The following is a 16,630-nucleotide window of genomic DNA, read 5'->3' on the forward strand; positions in this document are numbered from 1 at the left end:
CAGCTTGGCCAACACGGTGAAACCCTGTCAATACTAAAAATACAAAAACTAGCCAGGCGTGGTAGTGGGTGCCTGTAATCCCAGCTACTTGGGAGGCTGAGGCACGAGAATCTCTTGAACCTGAGACATGGAGCTTGCAGTGAGCTGAGATCGTGCCACTGCTCTCCAGCCCGGGTGACAGAGTGAGACTCTGTCTCAAAAAAATAAAAAATAAAAAATAAAAAACAGCATTCTTTGGGAGGCTAAGCGATCCTCCTGCTTCAGGCTCCCAAAGTGCTGAGATTACAGGCGTTGAGCCACTGCACCTGGCCTCAACTATTTTTTTAAATCATGTCTGATCTTAATTCTCCTAGGATACTTATCCCCAACTAACACAAGTGAGTGACGGATGGCCACTACATTTAGTAAAAAGAAAGTACACTCTGATTTTGGATTCTGGTACAATAAAGGTTTTAATATACATTTTAGAAGTTGGGCACGGTGATGTGTGCCCATAGTCAGCTACCTGGGAGGCGGAGGAGGGAGGATCACTTGAGTCGGGAGTTCCAGGCTGTAGTGTGCTATAACTGTGCCTGTTAATAGCCACTGCACTGGGCAACATAGCCAGATCTTGTATCTTTTTTTTTTTTTAAGATTTTTAAAGTATATACCTGCAATTTAGGAGAAAAATAAGAATATAAACCTCTTTTTAGCATGCGTATTTTTTTTTAACTAATTGTAATTTTATTGTTTTTCTTCCCCTCAATTTATTTTTACTTCAATAGGTTTTTGGGAAACAAGTGGTGTTTGGTTACACAGGTAAGTTCTTCAGTGGTAATTGCTGAGATTTTGGTGCACCCATCACCCGAGCAGTGTACACGGCACCCAATGTGTAGTCTTTTATCCCTCAACCCCCTCTCACCCCTCCCATCCCCAAAGTCCACTGTATCATTCTTATGCCTTTGCTTAGCTCCCGCTTATAAGTGAGAACATACAAGGTCTGGTTTTCCATTCCTGGGTTACTTCACTTAGAGTAATGGTCTCCAACTCCATCCAGGTTGCTGTGAATGCCATTATTTTGTTCCTTTTTATATATATTCCATGGTACATACATATATACCACAAAAAACTGTGTATTTCTTCACTCAAATTTCATCAGTATTGAGTTTCAGCATCTGTACCTATTTCATTATTTCTTTTTATGCTCATCAGTCTTTAATATCTTCAAGTTTTTTATTTTTACTGTTTTTGTTAGTAACAGGTTATTTCAAATTATCTTCCAAAGTTTTCACCCACTGACTTAAAATACAGTAGTTCTTAACTCTTCTTTCACTACAGAACAAATGGAAACAGCAGTTACCTCTATTTTAATGGTAACTTTTGGATTTATGCTGTCTTAATTCAATGACAAAATATTTTAATCTTGGAAATCTTTTATTTTTTTCAATACAAGGTAGGTAGGGCATAACTATTTTTTTTTTTTTTTTTTTTTTTTTTTTTTGTAGAAAGAGTCTTACTATGTTGCTTAGGCTGGTTTTGATCTCCTGGCCTGAAGCAATACTCCCACCTCTGCCTCTGTAATCTCAAAGTGCTGGGAGTACAGGCAAGAGTCACCATGCCCAGCCAAGGTATTATCTTTTTTTTTTTTTTTTGAGACAGAGTTTTGCTCTTGTCGCCCAGGCTGGAGTGCAATGGTGTGATCTTGGCTTACAGCAACCTCCGTCTCCCGGGTTCAAGCAATTCTCCTGCCTCAGCCTCCCGAGTAGCTGGGATTACAGGTGCCCGCCACCATGCCTGGCTAATTTTTGTATTTTTTTTTTTTTTTAGTAGAGATGGGGTTTCACCACGTTGGCCGGGCTGGTCTTTCACCTCAGGTGATCCGCCCACTTTGGCCTCCCAAGGTGCTGGGATTACAGGCGTGAGCCACAGTGCTCGGCCCAAGGTATTATCTTAATTAGGTATCTATACCTATTTAGAATCCTCATCTTCTCATAATGCTTCTTGCATTATTTTTGTCTTCATACTGGTTACTGCTGCGTAATGTAATTTCACAATTCATTTAGGAAATTCTGAGACTTGAAATTGTCAAAAATTACATGTAATGATCTGAACAACAATATTACATTAAGTTAAAAAATGAAGACATAAACAGTAATAATGACACCTATCTTTCAGTGGGTTACCATCCATGCAGTTATGCTTCTCTGCAAAGAGACTGAGTAAACCCCAGATTTCTACTTGGGAAGCAAACAAGCCCATATCTCATCTTCCTTTCATGGAAGTTAAAACTAATATATGCACCATTAGTAGCTAGCAACCACTGAGGTGCAACAAATAAACATTTACTACTACCATTATAATGTACAAAATGGCTTTCTTAATTTTAAACTTACACATCACTTAAACCATTACTAAACAAATTGCAGTTAGGTTACTGACTTCACTAGTGCTCCAGTAACAAATCTACAATAAAACAAATTCAAATAGGCTGTTATCCAGACGTTCATATGAAATGCAAAATGGAAGTAAGTCACAAGAGGAATGACGTCTACGTAACATTACCTATGGTAAGGAGTGCTTGGTTCATCTATTTTCATTAAACCATAGTCTTTGTCTGCTGGATGATACGTCGCCAAGATGTTCATTTCATCCCACTTCTGGGATTTTTTGCTAAAATTAAAAAGAAAAAACGTTTTTCCCAATGCAGAAAAAGATAAACCTGAATATCAAAATTCACAAATGTCCAAATTTAACATTTCAACTTCTATTTGATGGCCAACCTCTATTTTCACATATACTTTCTTGGAATAGAAGCTGACTCAGGGTAAAAACCATTAAGTAACTACAATAAAATGTCAGTAAATATAGAACACCTAGTGCCCACATATTAAAAACACAATATTTAGTATCTATATCAGGCATTCAAAACATTACCATACTATGACATGCTTAGCCTTCATTTGGCCTATAAAATAATGCAAGTCAAAATCTATACATTCGCTGAAGTCAGTAGGCATTTTTGATCTATATATCAGTAACTGTTCGGTAAAAAACACAACAGGAGTACTTCCTTGGCATAATTTCTTTCTGGGATATCTGTTAACACTCAGAACATAAAGATTCAAACAATAAAACTATAGAGAAAACCTCATCAAACTCAGACACCACTAAATCATTAGATTGCAAATAAATTACAGCTCTGTTTATTTCTAATCTAGAAAAATAAAGGTTTGCTCAGAAATGGTGTATTCAAACCTACTTGAAGAGCAATAGACGTTCTCTCTAAGTACTTTATTATTTTTGTTTTGTTTTGAGACGGAGTCTCACTCTGTTGCCCAGGCTGGAGTACAGTGGCGCCATCTCGGCTCACTGCAACTTCCACCTTCCCTGTTCATGCGCTTCCCCTGTCTCAGCCTCCCGAGTAGCTGGGATGACAGGCGCGCACCACCACGCCCAGCTAATTTTTGTATTTTTAGGAGAGACAGGGTTTCACCATGTTGGCCAGGCTGGTCTTGAACTCCTGATCTCGTGATCTGCCTGCCTTGGCCTCCCAAAGTGCTGGGATTACAGGTGTGAGCCACCAGGCCGGGCCATTATTTTTGTTTTTTGAGACAGAGTTTTGCTCTTGTCGCCCAGGCTGGAGTGCAATGGCACGATCTCGGCTCACTGCAACCTCTGCCTCCTGGGTTCAAGCGATTCTCCTGCCTCAGCCTCCTGAGTAGCTGGGATTAAAGGTGTCTGCCACCACACCTGGCTAATTTTTGTATTTTTGGTAGAGACGGGGTTTCACCATGTTGGCCAGGCTGGTCTTGAACTCCTGACCTTACGTGATCTGCCTGCCTGGGCCTCCCAAACTGCTGGGATTCCAGGAGTGAGCCACCGTGCCTGGCCTATAAGTACTTTAGAAACATCTGTTAAATTTCATGCAATGAAGTATTTGCACAACTATTAAGGTGCTCGATAATTAAATGCTTTCATTTTAAATGCTTACATACTCCTTAAAAAAGACCTCAAAGACCTTTCTACAAGCCAACATTATTTTGTTACATATAGTTTGTTACTTAGTATGTACTTGGAAAAACCTGCCTTAAAAAGAATCAATGTAAATGTTACACTGATTTAAATAATGCTTTCCACATTTGGTCTAAATTGTTAAGGTTTTACTGCAGGTATTTTCAATTTCCCAGATCCTGAAATACCCTTTAAGAATAACATACTCAACATTTTAATAACATATTCCCTTTTCCATACTCTCAAAATGGTTTGATGAGTTACCTTAAAAATTATACAGGCCTACTCTTGCAGGTGACTTCGTATTCTTTTGCTTTCTACCCTAATATACCCACAGTGTCCCCATTTCGGACTAAGCACTTTTTTTCTTCATTTTTTAAAATTGTGGTAAAACATACATAAAATTCACCATTTTAACCTTTTTGTTTTTTGGTTAATCTTCCCTGTATCATTCCAATTTTAGTGCACGTGCTCCTGAAGTAAGCACTAGCCATTACGAAGTGTACAATTCTATGGCATTAAGAACATCACATCATTGTGCAAGCATCACCACCATTCATCTCCAGAACTTTTTCATCTTCCCCAACTGAAACTGTACTCATTAAGTACTAACTCCCCACTCTCCCCAGCCCCTAGACCTGGCAACCACCATTCTACTTCTATCTCTAGAAATGTGACCACTCTAGGTACCTCGCAGAAGCGAAATCATGAAGTATTTGTCCTTTTGTGACTGGCGTATCTCACTAAGCATAATGTCTTCAAGGTTCATTCATATTGTAGCATGTGTCAGAATGTCTCTCTTTTTTTAAGAGACTGGGTCTCTGTCACCCCAGGCTAGAGTAAAGTGGCATGATCATAGTTCACTGCAGTCTCGAACTCCTGGACTCAAGTGATCCTCCTGCCTCAGCCTCCTGACTAGGTGGGACCACAGGTACGCACCACCATGCCCAGCTAATTTTTCTTTTTCTTTTTCTTTTTTTTTTTTTTTTTTTACAGGTGGAGTCTTGCTATGTTGTCAGGCTGGTATCAAACTCCTGGCCTCAAGCAATTCCCCTGCCTCAGCCTCCCAAAGTACTGGAATTACAGGTATGAGCCACCACACCTGGCCATAATCAAATTAATATGTCCTTAGTATTTGAAAAAAGTCACCTGCCAGGAGTGGGACTGTGTAATTTTTAAGGGAACTCATCACACTCTTCTGGGACTGAACTAGACTGGGTAAACAGAGCTTGCTTTAACAATACCGATGTCTTCAGATGCCTAGGCTTCTGCCTGTCACATAGTTGAGCTTGTGGCAGAAAACAAAAAACAAATTTAACCGGGAGACAGACACTGAAGGTTCAAGTTTCAGTTACCCTTTACTATAGAGAAGCCAAAAAAAAATCTTCTCTTGGACTCTATTTATAGTTGACCCTTGAATATTATGAGTTTGAACTGTGTGGGTCCACTTATATGCGGATTTTTTTTCAACAAATCTACTGGAAATTTTTTTGGAGGCTTGTGACAATTTGAAGAAACTCAGATAAACCACATAGCCCAGAAATATTTAAAAAAACCTTAAAAGTTAGTTATGTCATAAGTGCATTATACATAGAGAATAGTCTACTTTATCATTTACTACCATAAAATATTCACAAGCCTAGTTAAAATGTAACGTTAAAATTTATCAAAACATGCACATACAACACATGGTGTTGGATCTGCAGTTGGATCATAACTGCATAAAATTAACTACAGTACATACTATTCTATGTCACAGTTTCACAGCTATCTCTTGTTGCTACTGCAGTCTCCTCAAGTGTTGCAAGTTTGCTTAAAATGCTCTATGATGCGGCCAGGCACGTCTGTAATCCCAGCACTTTGGGAGGCTGAGGCAGGTGGATCACTTGAGGTTAGGCGCTCGAGACCAGCCTAGCCAACATGGTGAAACCCCGTCTCTACCAAAAATACAAAAAAATTAGGCATGGTGGCTTGCGCTTGTAGTCCTAGCTACTCAGGAGGCTGATGCAGAAGAATCACTTGAACCCGGGAGGCAGGGGTTGCAGTGAGCAGAGATCATGCCACTGCACTCCAGCCTGGGCAACAGAGTAAGACTCTGCCTCAGGAAAAAAAAAAAAAAAAGCTCTATGATGCTAGTTGTTTCAGTGTGAGTAGTTTGTTGCTCCAGTAAATTGCCTGTTGCAATAAAAAGTGATCTGTCTTGGTTTTTGAGTATTTTTTATCCTATTTAGTGCAATATTGTAAACCTTGAGTAACACCATGGGAGTCATACAAAATGCCACTAGAGATGCTGGAAGCATTCCCAAGAAGCAAAGTTGTGACATTACAAGAAAAAGTAGAACGCTTGATGAGTACCTTAGATGGAGCTCTGCAACTGCGGCTGCCCATCATTTAAACATGAATCCACCATAAAGACCATTGTAAAAATAAAATCAAATAAAAGGAAATTCACAAAGCTGTCACTGCAGTAGCGATACCAGCATGAAAACCTTGCATATTTTGTGAAGTGCCTTTTGTATTGCCGATGCATCTTTTATGTGAGTGCAGGATTGTACAAGACTATAGACTCTAATATGATTTGAGAAAAAATGATGTCACTATATGATAACTTAAAGCAAAAAGAAGGTGAAGAATCTAAAGTTGGAGAATTTAATGCGAGCAAACAATGGTTTGATAATTTTAGAAAGAGGTTTGGCTTTAAAATTACAAGATAACAGAGAAGCAGCTTCTGCCAACCAACAGGCTGCAGACGAGTTCCCAGAGGCCATTAAGAAAATCACTAATGAGAAAGGGCCAGGTGCAATGGCTCACACCTGTAATCCCACACTTTGGGAGGCTGAGGCAGGAGGATCTCTTGAGCCCAGGAGTTTGAGAACAGCTTGGGCAACCATAGTGAGACACTATCTCTACAAAAAATTTTTAAAATTAGCCAGGCATGATGGCACACACACACCTGCAGTCCCAGCTACTTGGGGGTGGCCTGAAGTGGGAGGATCACCTGAGCCCAGGAGGTCAAGGCTGCAGTGAGCCATCTGCAATCGAGCCACTGTAATCCAGCCTGGGTGGCAAAGTGAGACTGTCCAGAAAAAGAAAAAATTATTAAGGAGAAAGGACATCTGATCTGCCTGTACAGGTTTTTAATGAGAATAAAAGTGCCTGATTCTGGGGAAAAAAATGCCACAAAGGACATTTATTTATAAGAAAAGAGAAGCAAGCATCAGGATTTAAGGCAGGAAGGGACAGGCTAACTCTACTGTCTTGTGCCAATGCAGTAGGGTTTATGATCAGAACTGTCCTTAACTATAAAGCTGCTAACCCCGGAGCCTTGAAGGGAAAAGATAAACACCAGCTGCCAGTCTTGTGGTTGTAGAAGGTCTGGACAACGAGAACCCTCCTGGTTCCGTCCATGTTCTGTCCCCAGGGTAAGGAAGTACCTTGCCAATACAGAACTGCTTTTAAAAAAAAAAGAGAGATAGGGCATTACTCCATCGCCCAGGCTGGAGTGCAGTGGCACAATCATAGCTCACTGCAGCCTCGAACTCCTGGGCTTAAGTGATGTGACTGTGTCAGCCACCTGAGCAGCTAGGGCTGCAGGCTCAAGCCACGTGCCTGGCAGTAAAGTACCTTTTAAAGTTGTTTTGATTCTGGACAATGTCTCTCTTTGGCCACCTATGAACCCTATGAGTTCAACCCTATAAAGGTGTCAAGGTGGTTTACTCGTCCTCAAACACAACATCTCCAATTTAACCTCTAGATCGGGGGTCACAGAGGACCTTTAAGATTCAGCACACATGGCACTCTACGCAGTGGTCCCCAACCTTTTTAGCACCAGTGAGCGGTTTCGGGAAAGACAACTTTTGCGTGGTGTGGGGTCGGGTGGGAAGGTTTCAGGATGAAACTGTTCCACCTCAGATCATCAGGCATTAGACTCTCATAAGGAGTGGGCGACCTAGAGCCCGCGCATGCACAGTTCACAATAGGGTTCACACTCCTATGAGAATCTAATGTCACCATTGATCTGACAGGAGGTGGAGCTCAGGCACCTGCCACGTGGCCTGGGGTGTGGGGATCCTTGCTCTATGGAAAAGACTGTCAACCCTCATGGAGAACATCATGAAAGTCTGGAAGGGTTTCACCACTGTGTATGCCATTGTTGTTACAGAAAAAGCTAAGAAAGCTGTCAAGTCTCAAACAATGAATTCCTGCTCGAGAAAACTGTATCCAGATGTTACGCATGACTTCACGGGATTTACGACAGTGCCAATCAAGGAACTAATGAGATTGTGGATTATTTGGTGGGGGTGAAGGGTTTCAAGATATGGATCCTGAAATTCAAGAGCTAACAGACATCACACCAGAGGAATTAACAGAAGATGATTTGATAGAGATGAGTGCTTCTGAATCAGTGCCAGAGGATACGGAAGAATATGTAGAAGAAGCAAAGCCAGGAAACAAATTGACACTAGACAATCTGACCAAGAGTTCTATTTGAGACTGCTTGGCTTATTTTACAACATGGACGCTTTTATGATATGGACACTGAAACTAAACAGTAGAAGGAAGATTATTAGTACCACATAGAAGCATCTTAAGAGAAACGAAAAAGCACAAAAGTTAGGCATAAATTATGATGTATTTTTGTAAAGTTACACCAAGTGAGCCTGCCTCTCCTTCTATCGCCTTTATCACCCAAGACAGTGAGACCAACCCCTCCTCCTCCTCAGCCTGCTCAATGTGAAAGACCACCAGGATAAAGATCTTTATGATGATCCACTTCCTTACGATTTTAACATTTTCTTTTCTCTAGCTTACTGTATTATAAGAACGCAGTAACATAATACTTGTAACATACAAAACATGTAGTTAATCAATTGTTTATATTACCTGTAAGGCTTTCAGTCAACAGGAGGCTACCAGTAGTTAAGTTTTGGGGGGCTGGGCACAGTGGCTCATGCCTATAAATCCCAACACTTTGGGAGGCCAAAGTGGGAGGATCACCTGAGCCCAGGAGTTTGAGATCAACCTGGGCAACATAGCGAGACCCTGTCTTTAAAAAAAAAAAAAAAAAAAAAAAAGTGCTGGGATTATAGGTGTGAGACACCGCACCCAGCCAGTGTGTGCTTTAGCAATAATTTCTGACACTTTAAATTTATACTTAATATGCTTTTCTGTATGTATATTACACTGTAATAAAATATTTTAAAAATAAACACATATTAATAATGTTGTTTGGGGGTGCCTGTTAATCTCAAAGTAAAACAAGTTACTTCCTAAGTGATGTTAACAATATTGAATTAAAAATGACAATTTAGGAGGTGGGCAGATCACCTGAAGTCAGGAGTTCAAGACCAGCCCGGCCAACATGATGAAGCCCTGTCTCTACTAAAATACAAAAATTAGCCATGCTTGGTGGCGCATGCCTGTAATCCCAGCTACTCAGGGGGCTGAGGCTGGAGAATCACTTGCACCCAGGAGGCAAAGGTTGCCGTGAGCTGAGATTGCACCATTGTGCTCCAGCCTGGGCGACAAGAGCGAAACTCCGTCTCAAAAAAAAAAAAAAAAAAAAAAGACAACGACGACAACTGATCATCGTTGCTTAGGATAAAAAAAAGAATGAGGAAAGACCTCTGGAGTTTAAAAAGTATCTCTAATGGGAAAGAAAGAACGCCACATCCTGTAAATATTTTTTGCAAGATAAGGATTGAAGAAAAAGAACTACAGAACACAAGCAGAAATTAAGTTTTCTTGAAATTAAAAATAAAATTTAATAAACACAATCCCAGCACCCTAAGCCATTCATAATTTTGATTTCAGCATATTCTTCCCTTTGTATAATACATATAAATATGTATAAGCTATCAAAACATAAAAATATATATAACTATACATATAAAACAGTACATACAGTATATATACAATACATATGCTGATATATAAGTTTTAAGTATATGTAGTATAAGTTGCTTGTGTTTTTTTACCTTCTTAATGACTGTATAAGATTCATTTAGATTGATAACCTAAATAAGTTTTCCTATTTAAAATAAGGCAGACATGAACATATTTGTATATATGCTATTCAATGCTGTTTTAAAGAAAATTTGCTAGTGTAAGAGTCTGAATTAAAGTTTATTAAGAACTTTATAGTTCACTCCATGTTGCCATACAGATTTTTTTTTAAAAAAAGAGGACTGTTTGTAACGTCCCCAGTAAATTACCAAACCATTGCTAGGATTAGCTATTGTGTGTGTGTGTGTGTGTGTGTGTGTGTGTGTGTGTGTTTCCATTTCAGCAGGTATAAAACAGTATTTTAAAACTGTTGTTTCTTTGCCTAATTTCCTCATGTGAATTATGTTTACATCCTTTGCCTATCAGAAATCTTCCCATAAATTTGAGCTCTTTAGATTTATATAAACCACATTTTATATAACTTCAATTTTTCCCAGTTTGTTTGCCATTTAGTTTACTTTCTTCTGTAAATGAAATTTTAAGTTCTAAATATTCAAAGTCTCACTCAACTTGTTTTCTCAACAGAACACTAACAGAAAAAAAAATTAGTACAATTATTCAGATCCAAAAAAAGACAACAATAGCTTGCAAAAACAAGCATTTAAATAACGGTATTACAAAACAGACTCCAAAAATGCTAGGAAATCTTCGAAAGTTAGTGAAGTAGAAGAAACTGTCAGCAGGGGACACTGGATATGAAAGTCGGCATCTCTAAAGTGATGGCAGAATTAACATTAGTTGTGGAATAGCAAAACCCAAGGAGTGAGCCTGAGCTTAATCCCAGTACCATCATGAACTGTATGACCTCCTTTGAGGTCAGTATCCCTGCAGACAAAAATAGGGGCACCACCATTTACATGGCAGATCTGCCATGATGGTGAAAGCACCTGCTGGTTTCAGTTTTCCCCCACCCTCTTGGGTGACTGGTTTTCCTACAGCCTAAATCTGGTGCTGAAAACGTCACCGCTTCTCACTTTTACTTTGTTAGCTCATATGGTGCCACCTTAAGAAGACCTACTGGAACTTCTTGTTGCTTGTGACTTGCTCATTTGATAAGTTGTGACTGTGTCTGGAATGGGAAGCAAGATTTTGCTTCAAGGTGATTTAACTTTAATTGCACATTTCAAGAAATGGTTCTTTCTTTAAATGAAGATTCAACTTATATAGATTGACACAATATAAGACTTCGAAGCCTGATATCGTTACTGAACAATTAAAGTAAGACTTAACAATAAAAGCAATTACAAGTAAGCAAAAAGTAACTTTTAGAAAACAAATTTTTATTTTACTCAGTAAACCTCTGACTATAATATTCCACATCCCTTTATAGGCAGAAAAAGACAAAGTTGAAGCTTGTTTATATCTTAAATTACATCAAAGGAAATTAAGGCATAATTTTTTCAAGCAGAATTTGCCTGCATTATCTAAGACTACTATAGAATTTGAATTGAACAGAATAGTGAACTCCAAAGCAGACTGTGTAAAAACCCCGCTGAGATATGGAAAAAATGAATTTCTATATTTATTTCTATTACAATAAGACTAACATTTGAGGGTAAGGCACTGGGTTAAGCACTTTACATTTATTAATTCATTTAATATTTAAACTAAGGCACAGATATAATGAATAATTCACTGAAAATCACAACTAATAAAGTTTGCTAATAAGCAGCAGACAAGATTCAAACCCAGGCAATCTGGCACCAGATTAACCACTAAACTATAATCCTTCTCAAATGATAGGCTTTAGCAATATTTACTGTCATATTTTCAATAATTCCCAAAACACATTTTTTACATTTTCACATCTCTGAAAAAGAACATGTCTTAAAAGGATGGCATCTTATAATCATAGCTGGCAGTATTTTTTCTTCCTGGATAGTACATCTTAGAATCAACAGTGTCTTCTTTTCATTAAGATACACATATGTACTCACTAGGCCTGCTAAATTAGACCTTCATAAGTTGTGCCCTATATTCAAGGTATCCTGAAAGAATGGGAAGTCCACAATGATCGAAGATGACAGTGGTGTTTAAAACAGCTGAATGCTGTGGTGCAATGTACTGAGATTTATCTATACTTAGTTATGTGGATTTATGGATTCTATCCAGTTTTAATTTAACCCTCAAAAATTGGTATCTGACAAATGGTACCTGTAGAAACCACTCATTAAAGACATAAGTACTGGTGGGGCATGGTGGCTCTCACCTGTAATCCCAGCACTCTGGGAGGCAGGCAGATCACTTGAGCCCAGGAGTTTGAGACCAGCCTGAGCAATATACTAAAACCCCATCTCTACAAAAAATACAAAAATTAGCTGGGTGTGGTGGCCTGAGGTGGGACAATCATTTGAGAGCAGGAGATGGAGGCTGCAGTGCGCTGTGATCGTGCCACCGTACTCCAGCCCAGGTGGCAGAATGAGATCTTGTCTCAAAAATAAACAAAAAAAGACGTAAGCACTAATGCAAAGTATAAACAATAAGAAAATAACAGCACTGAGTCATCTAAAAAAATAAAACCCCCCTCAATGATGGTTTGATCGGTCCTGACAATTGGATAAAAAAATAGAAATGCTAGACTATCTGAATATGGCTTTATATAAACCTCACTTTAAGTGGACATTGAGTTTTGAGAATTATCTAATGATAGTAGTACATCCATATATGAATTACAGACATATATCTGAAGTATGTTTGAATTCTATTTTTAAAAATTCCTTGGTAATATTTACGTAAAATAACATCCTCTCACAACTGGGGGATGGGTAGGAGTCAAACTATCATCGCATTTTACACAACGAAGACACCTATAAAAGGTAGGGTTCATTCTCATTATTCTCTGATTCTTTCTTTGCAAGTTTACCTACTTGCTAAAATGTGTAATCCCAAAACTAGCATTTGAGGTCCGTTAGCAGTTGCTCACAGACAGCCACAGAGCAGGGCAGATTCTGAGTTGCCCAGTGCACCGTTCACAGCCGAGGTAGCATGTTCCCAGATGGGGTCAAACAAGGCGACGCTCTGCTTTCTTGTTTCAGCTCTTGTACTGTAAACAAGTGTCCTTTTCGTGGCCTATTTAGGGTCCTTTCCTGCATTTTTGTTGGTGAATCTGGTGTGTAAAATGGCTCCCAAGTGTAAAGGGCTATTTGGTATTGGCTGAATTTGTGGAGGGGGCCAACTGTATATTTATTGTTTCTGTTCAAAGAGGATCTCATAAAGTTTGCATGACTTGTGACAAATAATAATGTATATTTGGTATGGTTTGAACGTTTGTCCTCTCTGAAACTCACGTTGAAACTTGATCTCCAATGTGGCAGTGTGGAGAGGCACAGCTTTTAAAAGGTGACTGGGTCATGAGGGCTCTGCTCTGATGAATGGATTAATCTATTCACGGATTAATGGGTTATCAAGTGAGTGGTTCTGGTGGCTTTATAAGAAGAGGAAGAGAGACCTGAGCTGGCACGCTCAGCTTCCTTGCCATGTGATGCCCTGCACCACCTTGGAACTCCACAGAGTCCCCACCAGCAAAAACGCTCTCACCAGATGCACCCTTAAGACCCTGGACTTCCAAGCCTCCAGAACCGTAAGAAATAAATTCAGTTTCTTATAAATTATCATTTCAGACATTCTGTTATGACCAACAGAAAACAGACTAAGACTATATTGTATTACTAGTAGAATTAGTTTATTTGCTTTACAGTCACATAACAAGGATCATTAAAAAACCCATCCTTTTTACCACTTGGAACCAAACATCATGAACTTCAATGAATTAGGGTTTGATAGTTCTCTTTAAAGACAGGACTGTAACTCTAACTCGACAGGTCAGTCCCTTTTAAGTGAATCTACCCTGCCACAGATACTACAGAAGAGGCAGCCCTATGCAGTTGAGTCAGTCTAGTATAGTGGCTTTTGAGGCAGAAAGACCTGAATGTAAATCCCAACCAATTACAGAAAGAAAGAGGCCAATCCATAGATTGGGCCCACGGGAAATTACAGCAGATCCAAGTTAAGAATAAACAGAAACTAAAGAAGCAGAGATAAAGAGTAACTCACTTGGTAAATGGACCAAAAGAAACTCACACTGGAGAACAGCTAAATAACATAAATGCCAGTAAGGACCACATTCCTGCTGCTGAAAACCCTGAAGCTACATTTGAGCCTTCTGTAGTTACGTTACTTATCTTTTAATTCCTTTTCTTTTCTTTCCTTTTTTTTTTTTTTTTTTTTTTTAAGAGATGAGGTCTCATTATGTTGCCCAGGCTGGTCTCAAACTCCTGGGATCAAGCAATCCTCCCACCTTGGCCTCTCCAAGTGCTGAGATTACAGGCGTGAGCCACCACGCCTGGATGTTATTTATCTTTTAACTAACTTGGTTCTCCTGCTTCAGTTATGTTCTGGTGAAATTCTGTCTTCTTAATTCCATGACCTACACATCACACTCCCCCAGCACTCCATTTAACGTGGCTTAGCCCAAAGAAGTTGGAAAATTGTGTGTGAGAGAATGTAAGATTCAAGCATCCATGAGCGTGGGAGTTGCTAGACAAAAACTAAGGTCCTTTCCAGCCCCAAAAGGCCACGATTCTAACCTATGAACCTACTCAATATTTCCTTCAAGGTAACACAAATCCCTAAAATTTACCACCACCAAGCAGTAGTTCCTTTTATGGTCCTAAATAAGATCCTTTATCCAGGAATGCCCTAGGTTCCTATATTCTGAGATTTCACAAACATCCTCATTTTAGCTTCTGACTACCAATTTCAATGGTAACTTTTCTTAAGCCTTATTTTCAGAAAGTAGAGTCCTTCTATTTTTAGTATCTTGCAACGCCCAAGCCCCCGTGCACTTCTAACCCACTACAGATACTGTACTGCAACATTTTCTCCGTGCATAAACGCCTACCTTTCTTTTTTTAAAGGCTAGTATATTGTTCCATTATACAAACGTACCGTAATTAATATTTCACCAGCTCTTACTAATGGACTTCCGGTCGTTTCCAATTATATTATAAATATTACATACAATGCTCAGGTCAACAACTTTTTACATGTGTATCTTTAGCGTATGCAAGAGCAACTAAATTACCACTGGGTCATTTCAAGTTGCTCCTCTTTGAACTGTTTTGAGCTTAGATCTATCTCTGAACAGGAACAAAAACTAGAAAGCACCCAAAACTCTGGTTGCAGATGCAGAAATACAGTGTGGCACAATGCTAATGGGGGAAATGGTCTCTTCTTTGACGGATCGCCTATTAGCTTGAGACTAGATCTTAAAGGGTTCCCAAAGCAAGAAAATACACTGTAATTATCGAAGAATTTTAGATACCTCAGAGATGAGGTTAAGAAATAGTAAAAGCTTAACAGTCGAAGATCTGAAGCTTCAATTTCATTCTTTGATGTTCCCGATTACAGAAAGTTCAAAGATGATGTTTAAAAATATTATATATGCCCAAATGCTTAAAAAAAAAAAAGGAAGCATGATAAACGTCATCGCCCAGCCTTCTTAAAGATCGCTCCCACCCGCGGCTAGCCGGGCAGGAGAAGAGACTCGAGCGGCACCCGAGCCGCATCCACGCCGCCCGCCCGCCCCTGGGGTCTGGGTAGGTAACGGGCCCGGCGGGAAGGAGGGGCTCCCAGGCCGTCCCTCCCAGCGCTCACCTCAGCTCCTCGTCGACATTCCCGCGGGGCTGTTCGGCCGACGCCACCATAGAGGAAGTCGTAGAGGTCTTGTTCTTCAAGATCCCCTTGATGGGCCGGTGCGAGGCCGTCGAGGCCGCCATTGCCGGGCGCTCCGGCTGTCGGCTCAGGGTCGCTGCTTGGCGTGGGGTCCGCGAAGAGAAGGGTCGGCACAGCAGAGACTCGCAGGCAGCCGCAGATCCCGCTCAGGGCTAAAGCGGCCGCAACTGCTGCCTCGGAAACGGCTACCGCAGCGGTTGTCACGACACAACGACCCCGACGCCAGAGCCAACGCCGAACGGGTGGCGGCTACTCGCGCACCCTTAGCCACTGGCACTTGACCCGCGGCTCGCGGAGAGACGCCGGCCTAGAGCTCCAGCGCAGGAGCGACGCGACGCCGAAGCCAAGCGGACCCGCCCTCTCGCGATATCTAGGGAGGAGGCGGGGAGAGGGCGGGGCGAGAACAAAGCCGACCTCCTCGCCCCGCCCCCTCCGTCCCGCCCGGGCTGCTCGCCCCGCCCCCGCGCGGCGCTGGGAGGCGGGAGCTGTCTCTGAGAACCTGCGGGAGAGCGCCCGGGCTTGCTGCTTCCCGGACCCGCGCGTCTCTCGAGCACCCTCGTCCCACCACCTTGTGAGGCCGTAGTGTTATTTTTATTTTTTAGATCAGCAGACTGAGACTCGAGGTGACGTCACTCCGCAGAGAGGTTAGCTGACTTGAAGAAAACGGGTATCTCCTCTTTCCATTTCGCCCGTGTAAACAGCCGAACTGCCTATTATAAAAGCATGGACTGCCAGCATTGGAGTGGTCCTTAGAGGCCTATTATGAAATCATAGAATGTCTGCATTGGAATCGCCTCACCTCCTTTTACCGCTGGAGAAGCCGACGGACAGACGGGCAGCGACCCCCGCCGTCGCACAACCCGTCTAGGCAGAGAGCGCAGGAGACGGGAGGGCGGCAGGG

At 40.9% G+C, this 16,630-nt stretch overlaps 1 protein-coding gene across 5 annotated transcripts in view, besides 3 other annotated features; it reads right to left on the reverse strand.

Moving 5' to 3' along the window:
• The window catches only part of PPP1R2 (protein phosphatase 1 regulatory inhibitor subunit 2), a 28,898-nt gene extending 12,825 nt beyond the window's left edge, over nt 1-16,073 (reverse strand). For 4 of the 5 annotated variants that reach the window (NR_133014.2, NM_001291505.2, NM_006241.8 and 1 more), the window contains exons 1-2: nt 15,652-16,073; nt 2,542-2,649 (exon numbers count right to left, since the gene is read on the reverse strand). Coding sequence is in view for 4 of the 5 variants with exons in the window: in NM_001291505.2 (NP_001278434.1) it covers nt 2,542-2,649; nt 15,652-15,773 (230 nt within the window). In the remaining variant the exon portion in view is untranslated. Of the gene's footprint in view, nt 1-505; nt 651-2,541; nt 2,650-15,651 lie in introns of all 5 variants that reach the window. The other variant, NM_001316325.2, reaches the window with a different exon arrangement.
• Nucleotides 10,695-10,924: an enhancer, noted in NCBI's record as "active region_21056". NCBI's record gives its function as "activates an Ori minimal core promoter by ATAC-STARR-seq in GM12878 lymphoblastoid cells {active_cell/tissue: GM12878}" and the evidence as "EXISTENCE:reporter gene assay evidence [ECO:0000049][PMID:35858748]".
• Nucleotides 13,042-13,151: an enhancer, noted in NCBI's record as "active region_21057". NCBI's record gives its function as "activates an Ori minimal core promoter by ATAC-STARR-seq in GM12878 lymphoblastoid cells {active_cell/tissue: GM12878}" and the evidence as "EXISTENCE:reporter gene assay evidence [ECO:0000049][PMID:35858748]".
• Nucleotides 16,045-16,284: a silencer, noted in NCBI's record as "silent region_15039". NCBI's record gives its function as "represses an Ori minimal core promoter by ATAC-STARR-seq in GM12878 lymphoblastoid cells {active_cell/tissue: GM12878}" and the evidence as "EXISTENCE:reporter gene assay evidence [ECO:0000049][PMID:35858748]".

This window comes from Homo sapiens, chromosome 3 (assembly GCF_000001405.40).
Source record: "Homo sapiens chromosome 3, GRCh38.p14 Primary Assembly".
Taxonomy (NCBI): Eukaryota; Metazoa; Chordata; class Mammalia; order Primates; family Hominidae; genus Homo; species Homo sapiens.